The sequence below is a fragment of the Homo sapiens genome, chromosome 13 (assembly GCF_000001405.40).
Source record: "Homo sapiens chromosome 13, GRCh38.p14 Primary Assembly".
NCBI classification, from domain to species: domain Eukaryota; kingdom Metazoa; phylum Chordata; class Mammalia; order Primates; family Hominidae; genus Homo; species Homo sapiens.
In genome coordinates, this window is record NC_000013.11 from 39770610 (window position 1) to 39796845 (window position 26236).

At 38.9% G+C, this 26236-nt stretch overlaps 1 protein-coding gene and 1 pseudogene across 1 annotated transcript in view; one reads left to right on the plus strand and one right to left on the minus strand.

The window, feature by feature from the left end:
* COG6 (component of oligomeric golgi complex 6) overlaps positions 1–21057 on the plus strand; it is a 136040-nt gene extending 114983 nt beyond the window's left edge. Inside the window, exon 19 of the mRNA NM_001145079.2 lies at positions 17726–21057. Coding sequence (NP_001138551.1) covers positions 17726–17747 — 22 coding nt within the window. The 3' untranslated portion in view covers positions 17748–21057. The remainder of the gene's footprint in view (positions 1–17725) is intronic.
* Positions 14810–14901, minus strand: RNY4P14 (RNY4 pseudogene 14; annotated as a pseudogene).

The window sequence follows — 26236 nt, forward strand, 5'->3', positions numbered from 1 at the left end:
TCCTTTCAGTGCTATTTAATTTAATCCATTTGATTAAAAAGAGAAAGAAATCCATTTGTGTCTCCAGAGGTGGCTATAGCCATTAGTCAGAATACTGAACAAAGTTCACTGTCAAATTTGCTTAAAGAGGAATGGTGCAAGAATTAATTGTGAAAGGCTTATTTGAAATGAAAAAGGCCTAAGATCACGGGCTTTCATTTCTCCCAATCAAGTTTTAATTACTGAAAAGTTTAGTAACAGCTGAAGCGTGTAGTTACCGCACTCTTTATTGCCAAGAGGTTTTTTCAAAAGGACTTCCACCGCCTCATTGCCTTCTCTTCTTGTTTCTACAAGACCTCACTTGATAACATTAATTGTCTTTTTAGTTCACTTTCATTAAAGAAAATCCTACATTCTCTGGGGCTCAAGCATTAGCTGCTCCTCATTAGCTGCTCCTCATGTCATGTAAGTAGCTGCAGATCAGGTCCATGCAGACACGTGTGGCACTGCTGAGCACTGCCACCCCCTCCCACATCAGCAGGAAGAAAGCCTGCCACTGCTTAGGGTCATTCCATACAAGGTTGATGGGCAGGGCCACCAATTCCCAACAACTTAAGGCCTGTCCTCTGCGTATCACTCAGCAGGTAACAGATCCAACCATCTTTCTGGCTTGTTTCCCGCAGGTACTGAAAGGCATTTGCTGTGTTTAAGTCATCCTGTAAGATTTCCAAGCACTTCTTCGTCCATCGTCTCCACACTGGACAAGAATAGCCAGGTGTGTGTCCCAGAGACACCTGGAGGGAGTTATAGTGAGGGGTAACTGGTGGCTCACCCGCTGCCCAGCGCTCCCCAGGGAGACCCGGCCCTGCTGCTCAGTCCTGCCACTTGGTCTTCACAGTAAGCTTTGTGACTGGGCCCTGGAGTCAGAGTCAAGGAAGTGCATTGGCACAGAAGGATGGTCCTCTGCAGGAGGACAGTCTTGGTTCCATCTCTCATTTGGGCTGCTGCCTTGGCAAAGTACATTTAACTCCACTGGCCTTTTCTTACTTGCCTGAGGAAGATAATACAAATATATAGTCTACCCACCTCACCAAATTGTTTTGAGCATCCCTGAAAGTAATGACTTGAAAGCTTAATTGTATAAAGTAACTGAAAAGCACATATGATCTTATGGTTATTAAAAATGACCACGGGCCCTTCTCATCTCATCCCCCTGCCTGATTCACTTTTTCATTTATCCATTCAACACCTTTTTCTAATGCTTGCCAGGTTCCTGGCGCTATACTTGGTGCTGGGGGGAAAAGCACTGAACAAGATACATACCTTCCAAGGGTGCAAGGTAGGGGTGAGAAGGCTGAAGCCTGGCACAGAGTAGAAATAAAACTACCGCTGTCTCATTCAAAAACTTCCTCCCAAATTAAGTACAAAGGCCTCAGCCTCCTTTCCAGGTCTTCCCCAGCAAGGCCCTGTCCTGCTGGTCCAGTTCTGGTGCTGGTCCTCACAGCAAGCTTGGTGTGATTAGAACCCAGAGCATGTATCGGAAGATATGTGTTCTCTGAACACATCTTGTGTTTCATCTCTGCTCACATTGTTTCCTGAAATGTCTTCCCTTGCTCCAGTTTTGCTTAACCTCTTACAGTAGTTGTCAAACTTTTCCTGATTTCCTCTCCTGACCCACTGATGACTCTCCTACCTCTGAGCCTCCAGAATATATTGTACCTGCTTCACATCATAATTCTTTGCATATTTTATTCAATAAACATCTCTTGAGTCCTATCGTGTGTCAGGCATTTGGCTCAGCACTAAGCATTCTATTTTAAGCCAAACAGACATGATTCCTGCCCTCAGGGAGCTTGTAGTCTTTATTTCTTCAGCTCTCCATTGTTTGAGGGTTGAGGGCTGGATCTTTCTCATCTTTGTGTTCTTTATAGGACACCAGCCTCTGAACATCAGTTGAACTGGTCTTTTAAAGTTAGAGGAGCTGTCAATAAACACCTGACATAGGCTTTCCTAAAGTTCCCTGGCACCATGGAGTCACATCACGTATCATCTGTTTCCTGGCCTAGGGGCTCTTCTCAGACTCACTGTGCTGGCCTGAGAACTCAGTTCTTGACCTCTTAAGGATGGTCCAGGTAGCCAAGTACTTGATTTTCCTTATGGTCTTTTTAGGAAACAGACATCCTTCTTCCAATTACCTTGGGCTCTCCTGCCCCCATTGAGGAACTGAAGGCTTTTACAGAGCCTCCAAATGTTCCAGCCAGAGGCTCTAGTTGCAAAGCAGTTGCTAGCTGGTGAAGACCTGCCCTCCTGCCACTGTCTCTGGGGACTATCTTCTTTCGGAACATTTGCCATTTTGGATCACCAATTTGGGGCCAGGAGCTTTGTATATTTTATGTCTCCTCCTAACATCAAACTGACAAGGTAGACCTGGGTCTCTGTTTATTAGTCGAGAATCGGAAGGGCTTTAGAGATGGAGGGACTTGCCCCAGTGGCACAGCAAGATCAAAGCCATTTCTATCCACCCCCACTCCTCTTACCTCTCCACCTTCCCTCCATCCTAATGCCAGGAAGGGAAAAATAGCCTGTCTGTCTTCAAGGCAGCCAGAGGGAGGAGATGACTTCCAAGGGTGCAGGTCATTTGGGATATTTACAAACACTTATTTCTTAGGAAGAGGCTTAGGCCTAAATGGAAGCCACAATAGGCACTTTCCAAATCAACTTCCTTGGTAGTGTGAGGGGAAAGATCTTTACATGATCTTAAGCACTGGAGATTGTCTATTTCTGAGACTCCTGACAAAGAGAAAGATAATTTATGCCATTTTTACATTTTTCCACTAACAGCCAAACAGGCAGGGACACCATAATTCTCAATTATTAGAAGCTGCGTATGTTTTACCTCTGCTTCAATTAGAACAAGAGGAAAACAAAAGCCCTGAACTGAAGAGTGAATGATTTTAGATTGGCGGCACCCATTTAATAAAAGAGCTGGGCCACTATCACTTAGGAGTTACTCTATTTAGAGAGAATAATCACTGGAATGTAGAAACTCTGTTCCAGCCTGACTCCAATCAGGATTCTTTTAAAGCTAGTAGTTTTGAGGAAATAGGTTAATTATTTTTTATTACTTAAGTTCTATCCACCTCACAATCAGCTACTTATTGCTTAAAAGTCAATGCATTCCTTAGAATAAGAAATGCTTTGGATAGCACATGTAAAACCTATCATGGTGTACTCTAATTGGTCCAGATGGAAATGGAAATTACAAACCTATTGACATTTTTGCTTTTTTTTTTTTTTACCCAATCATGTCTAAATACTGACCAAAATAAACCTAGAAATTAATCATACAAGGGAATGTGAAGGTTGGCAGACGTTTGGTTAGAAATCCATAGGAGTATGTGGTGTGGGCTGACTGTACAGGCTTCGAAACTGCCCCACAGTCACAGATCAGGATGGTCAAATTGCAGGAAATGACCGGCTGACTGCTTCCCTGACTATGTTTAAAGGGCAAATGAGAGCATGCTATTTATAGGATGCTCATCAATAAGCTCCAAGTTCATAGCTGCCGAAGGAAACCTTAGTCTTGACTTTCAAAGTCTTCCACATTATTCTTTCCCAAACCACATATCATTTTAAAACTTTATGAAGGTAATACACATTTTGAAGTCTTCTTTTTGCCAGTGAAAAATCATTTTTCCCCTAAATGTTAGGCCAGTTGTTTCTGGTATTTACAGAAGAATATAAGATATTTATTAAACATTGTTTTAAAAAACAAATATGAGAACTATATTTAGTATTTGTTACAACTGATGCTCAAAAACTCTTTGGTGGTGTTGGATATTTAAAAATTTCTTTTCACTTCTGTGGACTTTTATGCTGGTTCTTTTGTAAGTCTTTTTGTTTATAATTTACTTTTATCAGTGGTTTGGAGCAGAATTTTAAATATTTTTACATCTAGGAAGTTCACAAAGTTGGAAAAAAATTTCTTTTTTCTTTTTTTTTTTGAGACAGAGTCTCGCTCTGTCACGCAGGCTGGAGTGCAGTGGTGCCATCTCAGCTCACTGCAACCTCCACCTCCCGGGTTCAAGCGATTCTTCTGCCTCAGCCTCCCGAGTAGCTAGGATTACAGGTGCATGCCACCATGCCCAGGTAATTTTTGTATTTTTAGTAGAGACAGGGTTTCACCATATTGGCCAGGCAGGTCTCAAAATCCTGACCTCATGATCTGCCCACCTCATCCTTCCAAAGTGCTGGGATTACAGGTGTGAGCCACCGCGCCTGGCTGGAAAAAAATTTCAAAGTTTATATTTTCACACCATTGCAAAATCAGTGTGATTGTATTCAGATAATTCCGAGAGATTGCAAATTTATTATTAATAGTTACATTAAAAGAGGCTATAAAAATGCAAAGCTACAAAAATGACAATGAAATATCAACACTCAGGCAGGGGAATGGGCATTTCCATTGCTCATTGCTCTCCCAGCCTTGGAGGAAGTTCTGCTTTTGCTGGGAGGCCGTCAGGCATCATGGGTGGGTGTGTCTGCTCGGGAGCCAGGCCTGGCCTGGAGGTTCCATTTCGTTTGTCATCTGTTACCTAAGGTAAGTTACTCTGGGAAAGTAACATAACCTAGTTTGTCTCAGTTTCCTCATTGGTCAGATGAGGCTAATGATGTTGTGACTCAAATAAGTTAAGACAGGTAAAAAGTGTAGAACAGTGGAGGGCACAAAATCAGCATTCACTGGATGTTAGCTCTTCTTATTTTCATTATAGTTATGTTTCTAGGATTAGATTTGAGAAAAAGAAAAAGTATACAACAGCTCAGTTTTCTCCACACACTCTACCCACTTGGTATAATGGGAAAAGTTCTAGATGAAGAACGAGGACATCTGGGATCCAGTCCTGACTTTGACTTTCACTAGCCTTTGACCTTACTATACATCCTGGGTTTTGGTTTCCTCATCACTAAAACTGAGGGGGGTTGTACAGAAGGCTCCCTGCTCCCATTCACCCCTCACATCCTGTGACCTTGCTTGAGTGGCTCACAAAGCCCTAATAATGTAGTTCTTTTTCATGTAGTTTTACATTTTAATACAATACCGAAACAAATTAAAGCATCTGGAATCCAGCTACAGTAAAAGCTGGAAATATCCTAAAATAATCTTTCAGAGATACATCTGAAATTTTTTTTTTTTTTTTGAGACGGAGTTTTGCTCTTGTTGCCTAGGCTGGAGTGCAATGGTGCGATCTCGGCTCACTGCGACCTCTGCCTCCCAGGTTCAAGTGATTCTCCTACCTCAGCCTCCCAAGTAGCTGGGATTACAGGCATGTGCCACCACGCCTGGCTAATTTCATATTTTTAATAGAGATGGGGTTTCTCCATGTTGGTCAGTCTGGTCTCGAACTCCCCACCTCAGGTGATCCACCCGCCTTGGTCTCCCAAAGTGCTGGGATTACAGCTGTGAGCCACTGCACCCGGTCGAAAGTTTTGTTTTAGGCAAACTTCTGATCAGCAAAAAGCTGGAAAAACGTAACTATATTTTAAAAGATAAAGAAAACAACTACAAAAGAATAGTAGTATCAGCACTTTCCTTCCAGTGTTTGGCTTTGTTTCTAGGAACTCTGAGGTGAAAAAAAAGAGGCAGAGGAGGGAGGAGGAGTAGGCAGAAGGGGAGCAAGAGGATACAACTTGTGTGCTATGTGTGGTTGTTATTTTAAGGAAGTTTATTCTGACCAATTTTATCCAAAGAATAAATCAACAAACACCCAGAAGCAATCTGCCCTAAGTTTTTTATTTCCAATATAGACCTAATCAGAATAATCAGGTTTTGTCAAAAAAGTTTCCAGTAAAATAGCTGTCTCTGTCTTCTCCATTGTTATTGTTAGATATTAGCCCTTCTGATCTTGCACAGTCCCCTTGCCTGGTAACGTTAACTAAGTAAATATTAATACTGTACACTTTTCCTTTGGAAAATGAAGGAGAACAAATGGGAAAAGATGTAACAAATGTTCTGCAGCCCTGTTATAAATATTTTATGAATGAATCAGAGAAATTGAAGATGAAAAAAGCCCACTAATTCAGCCAGTACCCTGATGTCTACTGCTGTATTCTTTCAAGCGGTTTGTCTGGTCTGGTCTTTAGTGACTCAGGTTATAGGGAATTTACCACTTCTGTCGAAGCTGCTTTTGTAGTGGGGACTATCTAGCTGCTAGGAAAGTTTGTCAAATTCCCCTTGCTTTTGTTTAGTTTTCTCATTAGTCTCATTTGATTTTGTTTATTTAATTGCTTATTTTTAGTGTCTTTAGATTCTTAATTGATTTCTACGTGTCTTTTCTATTGCTTTCTTTTTTGTTCATTCAGCTTTTCTCTCTTTAGTTGTTACCAGGAAGAAACCAAAACAGCTTTTTGGCTTGTAGATAGGTGAGAAGTAACAATTGGTTCCATCACCAAATTAACAACAACACTTGCTACATCAAGTGTTAGGCTAACTACTTTGCATACATTATCTAATTTATTAAGCACCTTCTTTTTGCCAGACACTGAGAAGGCAAGGTTAAATATGACCCTGCCACTGTTGGCAGGGCCTTATAATGTAGTAGGGGAGATAAGCATTCAAATAGATAGTGTCAACACAGCATATTCAGTGTGTGGGGCTATTTTCAGAGTCATCCTGGAGCACAGAGGGGGGTGTCCACTCCAGCAGTGAAGAGCAAGGAACGAGGGCAGAGGTCAGGTGGCATGGGAGAGAGATACCCCAGGTGAGTTGACCCATAACCTGATTCCTGTAAGAATAAGAGTTAACTAGGTTAGAAGGGGGTGTGGAGCTGGAGAGGATAGCTACTTGGGAAACTACATAAAGTTTAATGTTATTAGGTTGAAAAATGTGAGAGTTGTTGGAAGATGAGGTAGGCCAGGAGAAGAAACCGGCCAGGTTTGTATTACTTGGTGGAAAACTTGAACTTTGCTTTGGATTTTAAGAACAGAAATAAGGCTGCCATGTGAAGAACACACAGGAGGGGCAGCAGAGAGACTGGCATCTTTCCTGGTGAGGGATCACCAGTGTTGCAATCGCAGAGTCAGGTTAGCTCTTCTTGGTTGGAGTATCTTTAAGGCCATCTGGTCTGACTCTAAATGACTAGGAAATTACTCATCATGTGCCTTCTAACTCTCTGAGTAGTTATTTCCATTTCCTTGATACTGAAAAAAGGGTAGTAGGGAATGTATGTTTGCTGCGGCCAGTGGGGTTATGTCAAATAATGGTTACTTACTGACAGCAGTCTAACAGTTTCTGGGAAGACTAATGTGCTCCTAACTGCATATGTGGGAGAGAAACAAGAACTACCCATTTACTGAATATCCACTCTGTGCAAAGCCCAGTGCCATGGGCATTAACATTCATGGTATCAGCAAGGTGGCAGCAAAGAGTCAATCTTCTGAGAGTTAAGCAGTCCTAATCAACACATTATAGGAAATAACTATGTGCAGAAGTTATCCTGTCTAAGAGATGAGTTACTTATATTTTCCTCCCAGCCTAAAAGGAATAGTTTATAAAAAATAGTTAATACTTGAGGTTGATAGATTTAATACATATCCAATTTGGGTAAAGTGACTATGGTGTATTCTCAGGACAGGAAGGACCCTAAAGGATGCTATAATCTGACTAATTATAATTGTAACAGGCTTCTCTGAAGTAATGTGTAATGGAAAGGTAGTGTCTGCCTAGAGCCTAGAAAAGGCAGCATAGGGCAAAAGGCCTTGACCAGCATTAATTCATAACAACCAATGAAAGAAGGGACTATGTAGCTCATGTGCATTATTGATTTCTAAGTGTCTAAAAACACATCAGAATTTGCTGCAGCTTAGATAAAACATTTACTGAACATGTATTGCCAGAATGTGAGCTTATTGATAATCTCCTTAGTATCAGGAGAGGATATAGCAGTAACGTGTAGATTCTGCCTTCAGACCCCCCTGGATTGGTATCTTGACTTTGCCACTTAGAAGCTGTATTAGTTATCTGTGAAAACAGAACAAATTATTCAAACTTAGTTATTTAAAACAATATTATTTCACAGTTTCTCTAAGTCAGAGATTCAGAAGTGGCATAGTTGGGCAGTTTTGCCTCAGGGGCTATCATGGTTGTTGTCATCTGAAGGCTTGACTGGGGCAGGAGGGGAGCCACTGCCAGGGTGGCTTATCCACATGGCTGACACGTTGGTCTGGTTTTGGTCCTCCCCTTGTGGGCCTCCACACAGGCTGCCTGAGAGTCTTCACCACATGATGCCTGGCTTCCTTGAAAGTGAGAAATCCATGAGAATGCCAGGTAGAAGGAGTAGTGTCTTACATCCTAGCCTAAGAAGCATATGCCCTCACTTCCACCATATGCTTTTTATTAGAATTGAGTCTCTAAGTCTGGTTCAAATCAAGGGAGAAGGAAAATTATACTCCACTTTTTGAAGAGAGGAGTGTCAAAAAATTTGCATGCTACTGTAAACTGTCACACTGCGTGACCTTGAGCAATCTATTTAAAAGCTTTATGCTCCAATTTTTTCACCAGTAAAATAGAAATGACATTAGTATCTGCTTTATAGAGTTGTAAGGATAAAATAAATCAATGTAAAGAGCTTAAAACAGTGCAGGGTGTATGGTAAGTGCTTTCAGTAAGATTAGCAATGATGCTGATTACTAATTCTATTCTAAGTCTGTTTGACCTGTGATAGAGCTAATCCAGAGACAAGAACAAAAGATGCTGGCATCAGTCACGTGTGTCTCTTAAATCGATCATTCCTATAAGCAACGGTGTTATCTCCACATCATCCTATTGGGCTTTGCAGAACCTGGATACTGTTTTGCCTAGGCTGCAGATCCAGGACAGGCAGCATGCATTCTTCTGTGTCACAAAGCCTTGTTTTTCTTTTCTCATCAGAGGAAGTGGTCTGGAAAAGTGCCAGCCAGGCTATGTGACTTCTCAGGTTCAACATCATGGAGATGAGAAAGACCAAATGGCACCCAGGGTCCTGCTGAAATCAGAGGCATAAATCTCAGCTGCAGGCATGAGGAGCAATTCAGGAACCCTTGAATAGATCCTTTCAGATTCTTAACGTGGCTTCATTGAACGAAGACCTCTCCAGGGTTCTGTCCTAAAGTCACCTCAGAAAGCTGTGTCTCTGACATCACAGGAAGGGGACCCAGGGCCAGAAATCACTTCAGCATCATTCACCTCAATTTCACCTCTGAGAATTGAGGTATCATGAACAAACGTTACAAGAATGCTCAAGAATCTGGCTACCAAATAGTCCATAGAGATATTATCCTAGATTAAATAAAATTAAGAAACATTTATTAGGCACCTACTCTAGGCAAGTCACAGTATTTCTTAAATTGGAAGAAACTTGCTGATGGATGAAGAATGAATAGAATTTTAACCCATGCAGGACTTAAAGAAAATAATTGCTATCTGCTCCAGTCAAAGTCCACAGTGACATTCCAAGAACATGTGTCAGGAAATTGACTGAGAAAAGAGTTTTGAATTTTTGACTTACAAATGCATTGAGTTCGAACTAGAAACCAAAATCTACTTTTTTGCCTACTTTTCTCAAGTACAGCCGTCACACCAACAAGCTTGCTTTCAAAAAGGGAAAAGAAGATGTTTGATAGGATCAGAATATCCCAACTCCTGATATCTGACCAAATTAAATTTAAATGTTCAGAACTTTGCTTTTGAATATATAAAGCAACATGATGGCTGGCACCAAGGAAGGCAAGACCACCAGTAGTCTAAATGTTACCCTCAGGCATGCATGCCCTGGCAGCTGACCCTTCCCTGAAAGAAATGTCCCTTCTATTCAAAGACAATGTCTGGGGTGAAGTAATTTATTAATTTATTAATACAAGAAGTAAAAAATACTATTTTTGGCCTAATATCCATAATAATATGGAAGAAATGACAAAAGAAACCCCATGGGTTCTCAACGTATTACACTTTCAGCCAACTTAATAGAAGACTTGGCTTTAGGATAAATGCTTGTATGTTTTATAAACACTCCTATTATTTAGGGAGGTCTGAGGGCATCTGGACATAGAATATTATTTTCAAGTTATAGCACATAATTTTTCAGGCAAAACTTACCCTTCAGAATGGAATATGAGCCATTTAATTTCCCCTTGTGTTTAGTCATATGAAAAAATGCCACACAAGGACCCGGGCAGAGAAACAAAGATAAGAGCTAGTCTTTTCCTTGCACAAAAATCTGCACGAGGAAAGGCGATGGCTCTCGTTACTGTGCACAGATGCGTGGCTGTGAACTGCATAGCTTTCTTTTCTTCTTGGAAAATGGCCTCAAATTAGTCTAGGACATTGGATGAACTGTTGCTAACTAAGTAAAAAGTTCATTACTCTCTGCAACTCTTTGCATGAATGCCATTGAGTTATATCAACGGTTCTGAATTCTTTTTTCTCCAAGAGCCCCATTTGGCCTCTAAATCTCTTTCACAACTCCTCTCCCCTTCTTAAAGATGTTTCCTATTCACTGTGAGACTCTCATCCAAGGAAAATAAATGGAGGTGAAGGGCCTGGGGGTGGGGACAAGGATGCAGAGGGGAGCTGTTTTAGAGAAGAGAAGGGGAGGTGAGAGCTGCTACCCACATAATACATGGGCGCTTATTAGAGGGCTGGAGGACTCTTTTTTGGCAAACATCAAATTAGGTCCAAGCATTCATCCCAATTCACTGGAACATGCAAAATCAGTTGACAGGTTAGAGAAGAGAGGTTTTTAAAAGTTAACATTTGTTTTTCCCCTGAAAATATGAAATGACTGTGGGCTGCAGAAAAAAGTAGGAGCAAATGCGGAGGGTTTTTTTTTTTTTTTTAGTATGAGAAACTAAATGGCTGGAATGGAACTATTTCATATTTTAGATGCAGGCTGTGATCGCTGAATAACCTTCTTATTTTGACTCACAGCTTGACACAATGCAGGCTTTCATTGCATGAAGAGCCACAGCAAAGAGTTTTGGGCCACTTTCTCTTTTTATTCATTTTCTAAGCCCCATCCTTCTCCCACCCCAATTCCCCCATTTCCTCTGTCTGGGTTTGAATAGCTGAAGTGTGCCCACAATATGTATGCACTAGACACATTGTTACCTCCCTTTTACCAAAAGCACCTGGCAGGGTCACCAGTCCCAAGTCCCTCCATGGTGCCTGGCTTAACTCTTTGAGTGACAAACATCCAAATATATTTTTCAAATAATTTTAACAAATATTAGAAATAATCTAACAAATGATTTTAATTAATACTTTATGGGAAGAAAATTAAACCTGTTATATTTGGTTGTTTTATAATTTTCTTTCTAATTTCCTCTCTTCTCGAACCCTTTTCCCTTGGGTTCTTAACTTACAATGTGAACTTGTTCTTTCCCAGCTGAATCAGTGGGAGATGATAGCATTCATTGATTTTAAATCTAAATCTGAAAATATCTACAGACTTTGTGGTCACAGAACAAGCAACCACACATATTGGGTAAAGGGGAAAACATTACCCATTGTGCAGAAAAGCCTAGGAATCATCAGATGCTTTGTATTTCTAGAAACCTCGCTCTTTTCAAGAGGCCAGAGGGCCATCAGAGGATAACTCTTCAGCTTTCTGCTTCCAGCCAATATGGAGTAACAGGGACTAGAGGTACCCTTCTATCTGAAACAACCGAAAATCTGAAAAAACTATGAAATAATCATTTCAAGACACTGGACAACAGGTAGCTTAAGATAACCTAAAGCAGATGCAGATCTATTTTAGTTAGAAGTTGTAGTTTGGGCAATCAGCAAAAGAGTTTAATTTCTTCCTTGGTGGAGGTGTAGAATGTTGGACATGCTGCTTGTAGTAACCTGTGGGAGGCCCCCCTCTTGTCCAGGTCAGACAGGAGTCCTCCCTAAATACTGTGTGCCATGGATCTTCAAGAAGTGCACCAGAAATGGGTTTTGATGAGTAGAAAACCTCAATCTCTCCTCATTTTCATCCAGACTGAGGATGAAATGAAAATGAGAGCTACACCTGTCCTTGAACATGAGCACAAGCTGATTGTGTTTGGAGCCACAGTAGAAGACAGGAGCCATAGGAAGTCAGGGGCTGCCTCCCCCCATCACAACAGGGGCTAGCAATGGCCTTCTTAGGGGCAGCACCTAGACCACGGTGCTCAGGGGGGAACAGCATGTCTGGAGTCTGTGGCTCACGTGCCCATAAGATGCCTTCTTCCCATGGGATGTGACTGGTGAATAGGTTAAAAACTAGGACTTTGAATCCTGATTTGAAAAGTAAGTGTGATTCTTGAGGGAGCTTCTAGGGTGCTGCGAATGTCCTGTTCCTTGATCTGGATGATGGTTAGACAAGTATGTTTATTTTGTGATCATTCATCAAGCTGTATATTGATGACTGTGAACTTTTCTATACATATATTATAGTTCAGCAAAAAGTTAAACAGGCATAGTGGCTCACATTAATTATGTCTTTTTTACAATTACTTCATTATAGAAGAATGTATTAGTAAAGCTCGAGTATTGATTTCACCTCATATTTTTAATGATGATCCTAGAGGTCTTACATATTTTCAAATAACAAATAATAATTCATTCTCTTTATTCCTGCAGGTGGAGACAAAGCTATATCATTCAATCCTATGCCCTTTGTTAGGAAATATTTACTTTTTAAATGGAAATAAATATTGTCCTTGACAAGAGTGTGGCAGCCATTGGGCAAGTAGGATGGTATTATTTAGAAAATGTTGATGCTTAACAACACAAAAGCCTGGATTTTTTAGTTACCAGATGACTAATATTTGTTTGTTCATTTTTGTTCTGTTTTGTTTTGTTTTGTTTTTTTCATTCCTAATGTCATAAACACAATGCCTTATTTTAAAATTGTTCTCTCTGTTTGATGTTAAATTCTTAGAGTCAAGCACTGTATCTTTTTTATTTTAAAATGATGGTACAGTTGGCAGTATTACTAATGTGCTTGTGAGATTGAAAAGGACAATACTTCCCAGAGGCCTGTTAGACTACACACCAATCCAAACTAACCTTAAGTGACCAGATATTCAATATTATAAAATACAGTCACTAATTTGGACTCTGACCCCAAACCAACAAATGACCTAGAATCTGTCTCAGTTTAATCTCAGCACACCTGAACATCATTTATCTATAGGCAGCTCCTCAAGCTAAGTGGCCATCCAAATACAACTGTAACACAATTTTCATGTAGAAGTCCAACTTGAGTTTACCGAGGGCATTTTCCATTCCTCTTTTGTTGAAGGTCTTCTGATAAACATATAACCTGAAGGCAAGTGAGATCATTTTTCATTCTAGCCTACAGGAAGTGGAAGCTAGGCTGGAAGTGGCCCCAAACAGCATGGATTCTGGGGGGAGAAAGTGTGGTAAGAAGGGAAGCAAGCTGGTTGCTGCAAAGTTTGATGCAGGGCCGGCTCCATCTGGTCACATAACACGGTCCACTCCACACAGCCCATTTAATACATTAAGAAGGGATAAGGAGAAGGCTGTGCCTGGAAAAGCTGTCATCACCTTCATTGATGAGCCAAGAGCTTCTATTCATGGAACACTTAGAATATACCTATTTGTCAGAGTACAGCACACCTGACATCACCTGCAAAGAATAGCTCAGGTGCAGAACCCGTCAGGAGAACATCCTATGAGGGTAATGGCATGGCCTAGAATAGCTGTGAGCAATGAGTGGTGGATTCTAGATTAGTTGGTAAACTCCAGCAGAGACTTGGAGGAGACCACCACTACCTAGAAGAGGCAGGAGCTCTGGGCTTCAGATCCGTCCAACTAGTATTTGCTGAACAGTGTTCTGCACCAGGGGCAGTAAGCATTGGATATAGAAGTCAACAAGACCTGAAGTTCACAAGGAGTTCATAGTTTAGAACACAGTAGACAGTTCACTGAGTTGGAATTTGTTAGAAACTGTAAATAACCAGAGCTTTTAGTTTACTGTAAAGGAGTGAATAATTCATGTGGCAATTGTCCAGATGTCTACAAGGAGATTTCCAGCTCCTGTTCTCTTAGATTCAAAGTTAAGGAAACCTGTTTTGATGAAGATAATGTCCTTAACCAAGGCCCAGGAACAGGGGAGAACAGTGAAGTCCTTCAAATAAAGTTTTCAAGAGAATAGAAAGAGAGGAACCTCTGGGCTCCCACTCTGAAGGCTGGTGGTTCAGGAGCTCCCAGAGTATGGGTGCTGAGATGAGCATGCATCCTGGGGACAGTCTGGTAGCCTGAAAAAAATGTGTCTGAGGGCTAACATGTTCAACTCAGTGTCATTTGGTTGTGGGAACTCCTAAATGAGCAATGTATTAGGGAAGAGCAAGTCTAACTTGATGAACTGCCAGGGACTAGGCAGGAATTGGAGTGAAGGCCCAGTCTCAGGTCCTTGGCCTTGATCATGGCCAACCGCAATATGCTTCAGCCTTGTGGCTATGGCATAGTCAACAGAGAACCTTTTTGAATGCCTGGAATTCAGCTAGCTCTACCTTTGGAAGAAGGATACTTGCTTTGCAACAGCAATGAAGGTCATCAAAAGAGGTGCATCTGAGTCCCTGCTCCAGAAATAAAACTGGAAAACTGAGAATTTGTTGAAATTCTAGTAAACTCCTTGGCATTCTGGGCTATATCAGGGTATATAGTGAGGATGTCGGAAAACTGAAGGTAGTAAGGCAGGGATTAAAGGGGTTGGATTTCTTGTTATCTGGCCATGTGAGAAATTAAGTATTTTACTTTGGGTCTTCACTGGTAAATACTACCTTCTCATATTTATTTAGTTTTTCTAGCCAGTCAAATTTAGCAGTTGGGGGTTTTATACCAACTTTGGTGACACTAATGTTAATAAATTCTGATAACCCACTACCATCAGACCAGCCCTTCTCAGATTGAAAATTAACTTATGTCTATGGTCATTTTCTAGTTACTATTCAGGAGTTCTCTCGTACACACAATTCATCCTTTAAATTGTTAACAGTGTCTACTTACACTCCTCCATCAGAAACAAAAAGGATCAGAGAATTTACCCTAACAGGTATTTCTGCTAATCCTTTTATTTTTGAATTATTTAATATTTTTGATAGGGCATTCAGAAGAGACCTCAGCTGGAAGATTACACCTCATACAACATCTTGCTTTTCTAGTTTATCTTGTATTTAAACTAAATCCTTCAGATGAGAAATTGAAGCAGAAGGACCACTCCCAAATCAAAACGGAGAGAGTAGGGGTTAAGAGTACTTGGAGGATGGAGGATTTTCCACTTTGCTCAGCTTTGGGGAGTGAAGGAAATGATATATCAAAGTAGGGACAGAACTCAATGCCCTGGGATACAAATGTGATGTACAGAGAGTAGGATGATCTCTATAAGGTACAGTCAGGATAGAGCCCAGCAGTGCCTCAACCGTATACATCCCTGGCTCAGGAAATCCTGCACTCCAACAGCAGGAAACATAGGAGCACTCTGAAATCCTAGGGCTTAAAACTCCTCACTGGTGGAGAAGGGTTAGCAGGCTAGCAAAGGAAGCTATATGAACCCTAGTGAGAAGAGAGGAGGAAATCAGTGACCCAAAACAACCAGGCTTGGGAGGCCAGGCTAAAGGGAGAAATTTCCCTCTCCAGGAGATTACAGGAAGCTGGTCCAGACCTCTGCGGCAGCATGAATAGCCAGAGGAAGGAATGGGGAGGCAGATAAAGAGGGCAGCTGAACACTGGCTCGGCCCCTTTTAATCCAGCTGACAGTGAGTGGAAGGAGAATAGTGGATGCCCGGACAAGGGCATGTGGTTCTAGGTGATCGTGGGATCCTGCAGAGTTTGTTGTCAATGGGCAGGGAGTGGAGAGGAGATGCACAGTTGTTAGGACTGGACAGTTTGGAAATCACATTTCAAGAAAATGACAACCCCAGTAGGGTAAGTGATATTGAAACAAGGTTTGCAGAGAGAAAATGGTACTCACTTATATTTGCACTTTTAAGATTCAACTTTACAAAGGTGGCATTTCAGACAAATATGAAATTGATAATCATTTTTTATAGGGCTCCCAGGAAGAGCCACTCTGTGATGTGAATTCTATCTAGCCCTGCTGATTTGAGGTCTCTGGATTCCAGAGGGGACACTTGGATTTGACCCACAGCAACCCTATTAACTCATTGCTGAAATGAAGCAAAACTTTTACTTGTTGGTTGACTGATTGATTCGTGTAAGCCCCCTCAGATTCTAGCATGCATGAGAAGAGGAAGAAGCCTGATCAAACTGTCTCCCATCCATAATACAATAACTATACATTATTAAGAAAGATTTGCATCTGAAATGCTCAAGACAACTGAGACACTTAATACTATTAATCACATTATGAGCCCCAAGAGATTGCTTACTGGAAGGGATTTTGAGAAATTTACAGATGGGAAATGGAAGGCACCACAAGTCTGCTGGTTCTCTGCCCATTTTTTTTCTCAAAGGTAGGAAATGTCCCTCTTCATTGTGAGATTGGCTCATCATGCTGTGAACTATAATGAGCAGACTGGGTCAAGGGTCAGGGGAGTGGAGTGAAAAAGAGAGTGTGGGTGGTCACTGCACAAAAAGCCAGTTCCAGGCAAGATGGTCAAATTTAGTTTCAGCAAAGTGTTCTTGCACTGCCTGCCAAGAAGATGGGGTTAATTGGTAGGAAAGTGTGGGAGGAAACTGATGTTAGTGGAACATTTAACTGCATGCTTTAGCATTTAACTGGATTCTGTATCAAGTGATGTGTGTGTGCGTGTGGTGTGTGTGGTGTGTGTGTGTATTAACTCACCCTACAACCCTAAGAAATGAGAATTAGTTTCACCATTTTACAGATGAGAAACAGATTAACTAATCTTGCCTGGCTGCATAGAGTTACTAAGAGGCATAGTGAGGCTCAGAACAAATAACTGACTGAGTCCTATGTGTTTGCTGTTTTAATATGATTCACCTTATTTGTTAAGTGTTAACTATATATATATTTATGCACATACACACATATACATATATACACATACAACACACACACACAATCAGTTCTCTATTTGTGCAGGTTCTGCATTCACAGATTCAACCAACAGTTAGTTGAAAATATTTGGGAAAAAAACAACAATACGACATTAAAACATTTTTTAAAATACAGCATAACAACTAAGCACATTGTATTAGGTATTGTAAGTAATCTAGAGATTATTTAAAGTATTCGGGAAGATGTGTGTAGGTTATATAGAAATACTATACCATTTTATATCAGTGACTTGGGCATCTGTGGATTTTGGTATCTGTGGGGATCCTGGAACCAATCCCCCATGGATAGTGAGGGAAAACTGTATATATTTCATTTTATTTTCATTTTAAAAAGTTGCAGTTGGCAGACAGAAGGCAACTATGCTTCCTTGCTATGGAATTTCAGCCACTTAGGATAGAGGTGTGGAGCAATTACATTTTGGCATGGAATTTTCTCGAAATGCCATGCTTAGAGCTTTTCCTGTGTGACAACTGTTACCACTATAAAATAATAAACGGTAAGCAGAGTGCTTAATTGCCCTTTCCATCTTCACACGTACTCCACCACATGGTAATCAGTATATGGTCCTGGATGAATATTTATTTCAGCCCTCCCTGTGAATATGCAGGAATGTGAGGTATTCAAAGCAGGAAACTGCACCATCAGCAACATTGTCTTTGATTGTTGGCATTTGCTCACAGGCGTCCACCCAACGGCCCATGATCATCTTGTAACCAGTGCAGGACCTTGTGCTTCTGGAGCCATTCCAGTTGTGGGAGGTGATGTCTCGGAAAACTCTGCCTTGGGGACTGGCTATAGAAATGTGGCCAGATGGCTTTGTCATCTTCCCCTGTCTACTCTGTGACTCTTCATCTGGTGGAAATGCTGTGAGGGATGAACCAAATGGAAACTCAGATTTACTCTTCAGAATAATGCGGATCATAATACGCACACACACAGCATGTAGAGTTGCTGTGTGGCTTAAATAAGTAAATGTATGCAAAGCACTAAAATGGTGTCTGTCTAAGTGTAAACACCAATTGTGTTGGCTATTATCACTATTGTTGTTCTTATCTCAAATATGTGTTACTTTCTAAATAACTTTAGTGTTCATAGATTGTTAAAAGACAAGATGACCTGAAGAAAAGTAAGCCCTAAAAATCCATTATTAACTTTTTTCTCCACCACTCTTTTCTTCTAAACTTCACTATTCTTTGTGTTTTCACAAAAGTTGCTTACTTCACCTGGCAGAGATAGCATTACGCAGGGGATGATTAAAATATACTCACTTGTACTTGTTGGTTTTAAATTTTATTATTTATGAATAGGTAATAGCATGTACACTGTAAAAATCTCAAAAGGCAAAAAAGGATATACAGTAAACATTAAGTTCCTCTTACCCTGGACCTTAGCCATCAAGTTCTCTTCCCCATAGGCAATCCCTGTTGCCTAATTTCCAATTCCCCTGCATACTTTAAAGATCATCTGTGCATCTGCACTCAGACCACTCACACGTCTAAAACAAATGATAGCACACTACACACAAAGTTCTGTTCCTTTTTATGCTCAATGATATGTTTTGCATCATATTTCACTGCCGTATAAATAATGCTGCCTCGATTTTTAAAATAACTGAACAGTAATACACAGTATGAATTTACTCCAATTTATAATCCAATCCTTAGTTAATGGATATTTTGATTTTGTTGTTAAGAATCATGCAGCAATGATGTACCTGTTAGACATGAGTTATTAATTTCTCTTCGAAGAATCAATATGTCACTACGTTCAATTCTTTGCCTTCTACTTTTAAACTTCACTTCCTCATAAAGCAACCTTTTGCGATCATCTGCTCCACCCTGACTCATTCCAATCACCTGCTCCACCCTGACTCATTCTGATCACCTGCTCTGCCCAGACTCATTCCCATCACCTGCTCCACCCTGACTTATTCCAATTACCTGCTCCACCCTGTCTCATTCTCCACCCTGACTCATTCCATAACCATTTTTCCCACCAAACCAGTCACCCCCTCACCCTCTTTAAATTAGCTAATCGGAATTAGTTTAGCTTGTGTGGTCTAACCTAGCCAATAGATGAATGACACAGCAGCAGGAGCCACGTTCGTCAGGGATAAGAACACCTTCCCCTTCCTTGTCCAGGGGTGTACTCACCATTGCTCCATCTGTGAGGGCGCACCCTTCTATAGAAGTAAATTGCCTTGCTGAGAAGAAAAAAAGAAAATTTTATATTTGAGTGCTATTTATTTTGTGGCACCAAAACTATTTATAACATACCTGATCTTTATTTTAAATTTTTGTTTATTTAAATATTAAATATATTATCCACCTGGTATTAATTTGTTTAAATAAATGTGAGGTAGGGTTCCATTGCTATTTTTTAACCAGGTAGGTTATATTGACTAACCTTCACTTTGAAAGTGATTTGAAATACACTTTTCATTTATTAAATTCTCCCTTGTGTTTAGGCAGTAAGGCATAATATTTGAGAGTGTGGGCTCTGCAGTCCAGCTATCTGGGTTTGAAGTTTATCTCCTTTATTTGCGAGTGGTACAAACTTGAACAAATTATGTAATTTGTTTTTCTCAATTCCCTCATGCACTAAGTGAGGATAAAAATAGCAATAACACCATGAGATTGCTGATAACAAAATGCAAGGTAAAAATTGTGTAAGGCTTAAAATTGTGTAGCCTGGTATACAAGAGGCTCTAAATAACATAAGCTATTATTGCTTTTCTACTTATTATTATTTCTGGCTTTTGTAGTCTTTTTCCCATTGTTGATCTTTCTACTATTCACAAAGCATGAGTCTAGTATCTGTAGATTTATAAACTAATTAATGTAACTTTTCAATATGTTTTAATATCTCATAGATACTGTTCTTCCTCATTACTTTTCTATTTTATAAATTTCTATTTCATCTGCTTCATAAATTTTGCATTCTCATAAACTAAGAATCATCTCCTGTAGTTAAAAAATATTGTTTGTATTTTTGTTGGGAGTAGAGTGAATTAAAATATATTGACTTAAGGAGAACTGACATCTTTATAATATTGAATCTTCCTGTTTGAGATTGGACTTTATGTCCATATTTTAAAGTCTTTGTTTATGACCCTAAGTATAATTTTAACGTTTTTATATTAGGCTTATTTCTAGATACTTTTTGTTAATATATCATCTAACTGGTTGTTCTTCATATATATAATGACTATGAATTTTTTCTCAGTCTTTTTTCTGAATTCTCACATCATTTGTGTTATATTTTTAAGTTGATTCTCTTGAGTTTTTCAGGTAAACAATTATATCACCTATAAAAATAATGTTGCCACCTTAAATTAAGAAAATGTTTTTCTATTGTCTAATTGCATGGACTGTTGCCTCAGGAACAGTATAAGATTGCTTACAAAAGCCTTGCTTTCTTGTTCCAGATTTTAAAAACAAGGCTTTCAATGACAATCTCGCTAGCAAGAAGCTGGTATACTTACATACATACATACAAACAGACAGACACCCACTTTCTATATGTATATCTAGATAGATTTAGATAGACATATATGTGTGATTCCTGTTAAGATGAATCTATTTTTGGTATTTAAGATTTTAAAAATCTAGAATGGGTATTATTATATTGTATTGAAGCTCTTAAGCATCTATGGAAATGAAAGTATGATTCTTCTCTTTCGACTAATTAATATGTGATCCATAGTATTTTAGTAACAGATTTCCTAATATCGAATGATCTAGGCATTGATTCTAGCAGATTATGTCTATGGGTATTTTATTTAAGATTTTGCATCAGTATTAATAAATGACCATGGTCTATGGGTTTGCTTTTTTGTGTGCTATGTTTGCAGAGTGTTTGTAGTTTACAAGAGATTTTTGCAAACTTCTATTTATGACAATATGGTAGATTATATATCTGAAAAAAAAACCTTCTCATTACAGAACATATACAAAACTGCTGAATAAAACGAGGCAACCAACATTTTAAATATATGGTTAATAAGGTTTTATATCTGTTGTGGTGTCATTTTTTGGAAATTTTCTATTGTCATAAACAATTATACATTATCTCTCGGTTCCCAAACTTATTTGCAGACTTGAAGTACTCTTCTGTGAATAACTCAAAGTCTGTGTGTCTATGATCATTTCCTATTATCTTTGTAAATGTTGCATATTTCTGCTTAATACTTATTTTATTAAATTAGGTAATTGTTTATCCACTTCATTATTTTTTAAAGTAGTTTTTGGAATTATTAACTCTATCATTTTTCTGTTTTGACATTATCAATTTCAGTTTTCATACTTACCAAAATTTCCTTTTGTCATTTGCTTTCTAATTTCTTGAGATAATTTTTTGTCAATATTTTGCTATGAAAAATTCTAAACATACAACAAAGTTGAAAAAAATTATACAGGGAACACATAGATTTATTGATTTCATAGATTCTACAAATAACATTTTCTTTATGATCATTTGTAACATTTATCTCTGTTTATCCAGCAATCCATCTTACTGCGTTGACTTATTTCAAAGTAGTTTAAGAAATCAGTTTTCTTCCCCCAACTATTTCATTATATAGTAGACTCCAGAACAACGCAGGGGTTAGAGGTGTCAACCCCCGTGCAATTGAACATACGTGTATAACTCTTGAATCCCCCAAGACTTAACTACTAATAGCCTACTGTTGACTGGTAGCCTTATGATAACATAAACATCATTAACACATTTTTGTACGTTATATGTATTATATACTGTACTCCTACAATGAAGTAAGCTAGAGAAAAGAAAATGTTATTAAGAAAGTCATAAGAAGAGAAAATATATTTACTATTCATTAAGTGGAAGTGGATCATCATAAAGGTTTTCATCTTCATTGTCTTCACACTGAGTAGGCTGAGGAGGAGGAGAAAGGGGGGTATTGGTCTTGCTGTCTCAAAGGTGGCAGAGGTGGAAGAAAATAGGCAATGGTAGAGATTTTTCTACTTTTTAGCTTTTACATTAATTTCTAGGTTTACTTCAAGTAACTAGAGAATGTTATGTGTATTATTTATACAGGTAGAAATTCACTGAGCTCTTCACTGTAGCCTAATACATGACATTGTAATAAGCATTGTATGGACACTTGAAATGAAGGTTTGCCCAGGAATTAAGGGGGCTTCTAGGATGTAGAACTTTCAGTGCTAAAACTGAGACAGTCTTGAGTAAACCAGGACAAGTTGTTCACCCTATCTAAGAATAAAATTCTTAGGTTACTTTTTTTCATTGAGAACTTTGTAGGTTTTACAGACTGTCATTTTTAGTAGTGAATATAGCATTAAAGTTGTCTGAGAACAGCATGAGTATTTTTCCTCCACTCTAATTGATTTGATATTTTATCTTTGAAGTTCAGTGACTTTACTAGACCATCTTAACAATGATTCTTCTGTATCAATTTTTCCTGCAGCATTGCATGTCACCTTTATTTGTAGAATCAAATCTTCACTCAATTCTTGAAAGTTAAAAACAATTATATTAATAAATATTTGCCACTTTCATTATATTGTCCTCTTCTTCAGATAGAAATTATGCCTTTTTATTCTCTCTGCCATTTATATTTTTCTTATATCTCTTATAAGCCTTAATTTTTGCTTGCTTTTCAAACTTTATTTTATTGTTGTAAGAACACTTAATATGAGATCTACCCTGTTAACAAATTTTTAAGTGTACAATACAGTATTGTTAACTATAGTATAGTATTTTCTATTTTCATATACTTTTACTTGCTTTTCTCAATTCTCTTCTCTATAATCCTTACTGTATTTCTCACTTGCTTCAGTTTGACCTTTGTTTGTAGAATTATTATAGTTTTACATTTCACTTTTTCCTATGTTATCAATTCATGTTTCATCTCTTTCTATTGTCCTACTATAAATTCTCTGAGCTCTTGCATTTCTGCTTTATGCTCTTGATTTAGAGAAGTGGTTGCTTCTTAAAGATTTAAAATTTACAATGATATATACTTGGTCAAAATGTTCATTTGTTAAATGCAACTTATTTTTTTCTGACGTAAGTGCTTTCTGTGGTATTTAAAATTTCTGTTTCACCCCTTGTTCCTCTTTGCAGTATCTTTGAAGTACATAAATTATTTCTGGATCAGCGATTTGTTAGAGGTTTGTGGGGAAAAGGGATCAGTGCCATGTTTCAAGCTAGCAAATATTCTTCTTAACATTCAGGGTTGTGTGTGTATGTGATGAGTTACTGAAACATTATATCTCTTTAACTAAACTCAGTATTTCGCTTTCTAATCTAATTGATGGGTCATTTCCTGCAAAGGTGGCTTCTCTCTGTGATTCCTCATTCAACCATACCTTCCAGGCTTCCTGAAGCTATCAAGAGTACTTATGTATGTTGTTTCAAACAAGAGATTGTTGGTTTTATCCCTTTAAGGGACAAACCTTGGAAAACTGTATTCTGTTGTTTTCTGAGATTGGCAGCTTGAGCACTTTTTCTTGGTATCTTGATCTCCACTGATTTTGCCAGCTCTTCTTATATATTGTTATATATATACTTCCTAGTGTTGCCATGGGTGGAGCTTGCATTTCTATTACCTTTCCTTGTTGTTTTACTCTGCCATTTTAAAAAACAATTTGAGACAGAGTCTCTGTTGCCCAGGCTGGAGTGCAGTGGTGCAATCTCGGCTCACTGCAACCTCCACCCTCCGAGTTCAAGCAATTCTCCTGCCTCAGCCTCCCGACTAGCTGAGATTACAGGTGCCTGCCACCGTGCCCAGCTAATTTTTTGTATTTTTAGTAGAGACGGGGTTTCACCATCTTGGCCAGGCTGGTCTTGAACTCCTGACCTCATGATCCACCCACCTTGGCCTCCCAAAGTGCTAGGATTACAGGTGAGAGCCACCATGCCCAGCAAAACAATCTTAACAGTATTCTAAATGATCTATTTTGAAAAGACACAGAGCATTAAAATTCTTTATTTTGCTTCAGATGTCTCTACAATAAAAAATAAAGACTGTTTGTTGTTGTTAAGTGGTTAAAATGATGAGTACATAAAACCAGCTGGGATCCTTAAATATTTAGGTAACATATCTTGAAGAGTTAATTTTCATGAAAGAGTGCTAAGAAAAAAGAGACAAGAGATGACACCCACCCTAAAGCTGATAGTTAGTGGGTACACCTAAGTACAGATGAACCATATATTTACAGTTGACATTGGGTCTGCTTGGGCAATTATCTGCTGTGATTGTTAGTTCCTATACTGTACCATTTTTTCATATTGTACCATTTTATTACATATTTTTAACATTACCCCTCTCCCCAATACAAAGTAGAGATTTGTTACTTATTTGAATACTTTGGTCGGTGTGGCTAGCCAATTTGAAAGAGTTCTTGAATTTTTCCACACTGACCAGATTAACCAGATAATTGCCGTGTATCCAAAGTATTACTTGAAGCTGACAGCAGAATTTCTACTTCCACCTCTTTTTTCCCTTTGACTTTACAGGCAAATTAACTCTACGGTGGCTTTTCTTCTTATCCAAATATTGTATTTATGAATAAGACCCTCTGATTCATATTTTCTATATTAATGCCAAAGCAATGTTTATATACTAACAGTAAATGGGACTGTTTATGCAGTATAGCCTGGCTGGTTTATTATGGTTTCAGGGGAGCTCCTTTCTCAGGATGTGAAAGATCTAGTGTTGGAGATCAACAAACCCTTTCAGAACCCATCAGCGGTAGACAAAAATCCTTGCTGCTAAACCTACTACTTTGGCTCCTTTTCTCCATCAAGGATTAAAGAAGCAAAAACAAAAACACGCTATTCAATCATACCCCAAGCTGTGTTAAGCCAATTTGTGCCAGGGGTGATAGTAAGAGTGGCAATTGCCTTCAGATTAATTTTATCTTCCTTCCAGGTCCATATCAAATGTTTGCAACCTACCTTCCATCCCAACATAACGTGTTTAATTCATAGTTTGTCTGGTTAGATTTTGCAGTGCTTAATGTCTCTATTAATAATGCTAATATTTGATGAATATTTACCATGTGCTTTCCATGCTTTTCCTCATTTAATCCTCACAACAACCCTATATAAGTTTGAACCATTACTATCCCAAGTTATAGTTAAAGAAATTGAAAGTGAGAGATGATAAGCTTATTGTGTAAGATCACACAGCTAGATAACAATAGTACCGAGACTCTGACCTGGTCCATCTGACCCCTAAGCAATGTTGACCCCATGTGCACACTTTCTTCTACTTTGGGCCTCTGTACTTTATATCCTGCTTCCTTAACCTAGTGGTGGTTTTTAATTCTGGCTGCAAATTAGAATCACCTCTTAGTTTTTTAAACAGTATTAATTTCCAGGGATATTAATTTAATTGATCTGAATGGAGATCAGATTGATATTTTTTTAAAAGTTCCCAGAGATAAGAACTACAGCTTTAATCATACATTTTTAATGGGAAAACTTGGATACCTTGATTTGTATATACTAGGTTCTCAAGAAAGGCATCTTTAAGTTAATTAAATGACCATAGATTGTTTTCTGATTAATTTAGTAGTGTTTGTGGTACAGCTATGTATATTGAAAGAACAATGTCTTGGCCAGGTGCAGTGGCTCACACCTGTAAACCCAGCATTTTGGGAGGCCCAGGCAGGTGAATCACTTGAGGCCAGGAGTTTGAGACCAGCCTGAGCAATATAGTGAGATACTATCTATAAAAAAAAAAAAAAAAAAAAAAAAAAAAAAAAAAAAAAAAAAAATTTTTTTTTTTTAATTAGCCGGGCGTGGTGGCACACACCTGTAGTCCCAGCTACTCAGGAGGTTCAGGCAGGAGAATCACTTGTGTTTAGGTGTTCTAGGCTACAGTGAGCTGCGATTGCACCTCTACACTGCAGCCTGGGTGATAGAATGAGATCTTATGTAGAAAGAAACAAAAAACAAAGAAAGAGAGACGGGGGCAGAGAGGGAGGGAGGGAGGGGGGCAGAGAGGAAGGGAAGGGAGGAAGGGAGAGAGGGAAGGATGGGAGGAAGGGAGGAAGGAAGGAAAATGTCTTAATCAGCCATTTCTTTCAAGGGATCAGGGAGGTCAAAAGAATTTTCATAATAGTAGTAAACACCATTTGCTTTTTCATTCTCAGTCTCTCATGAGTGTAGAGTAGTGTTTTCTTGAGGCTACAGGATATGGA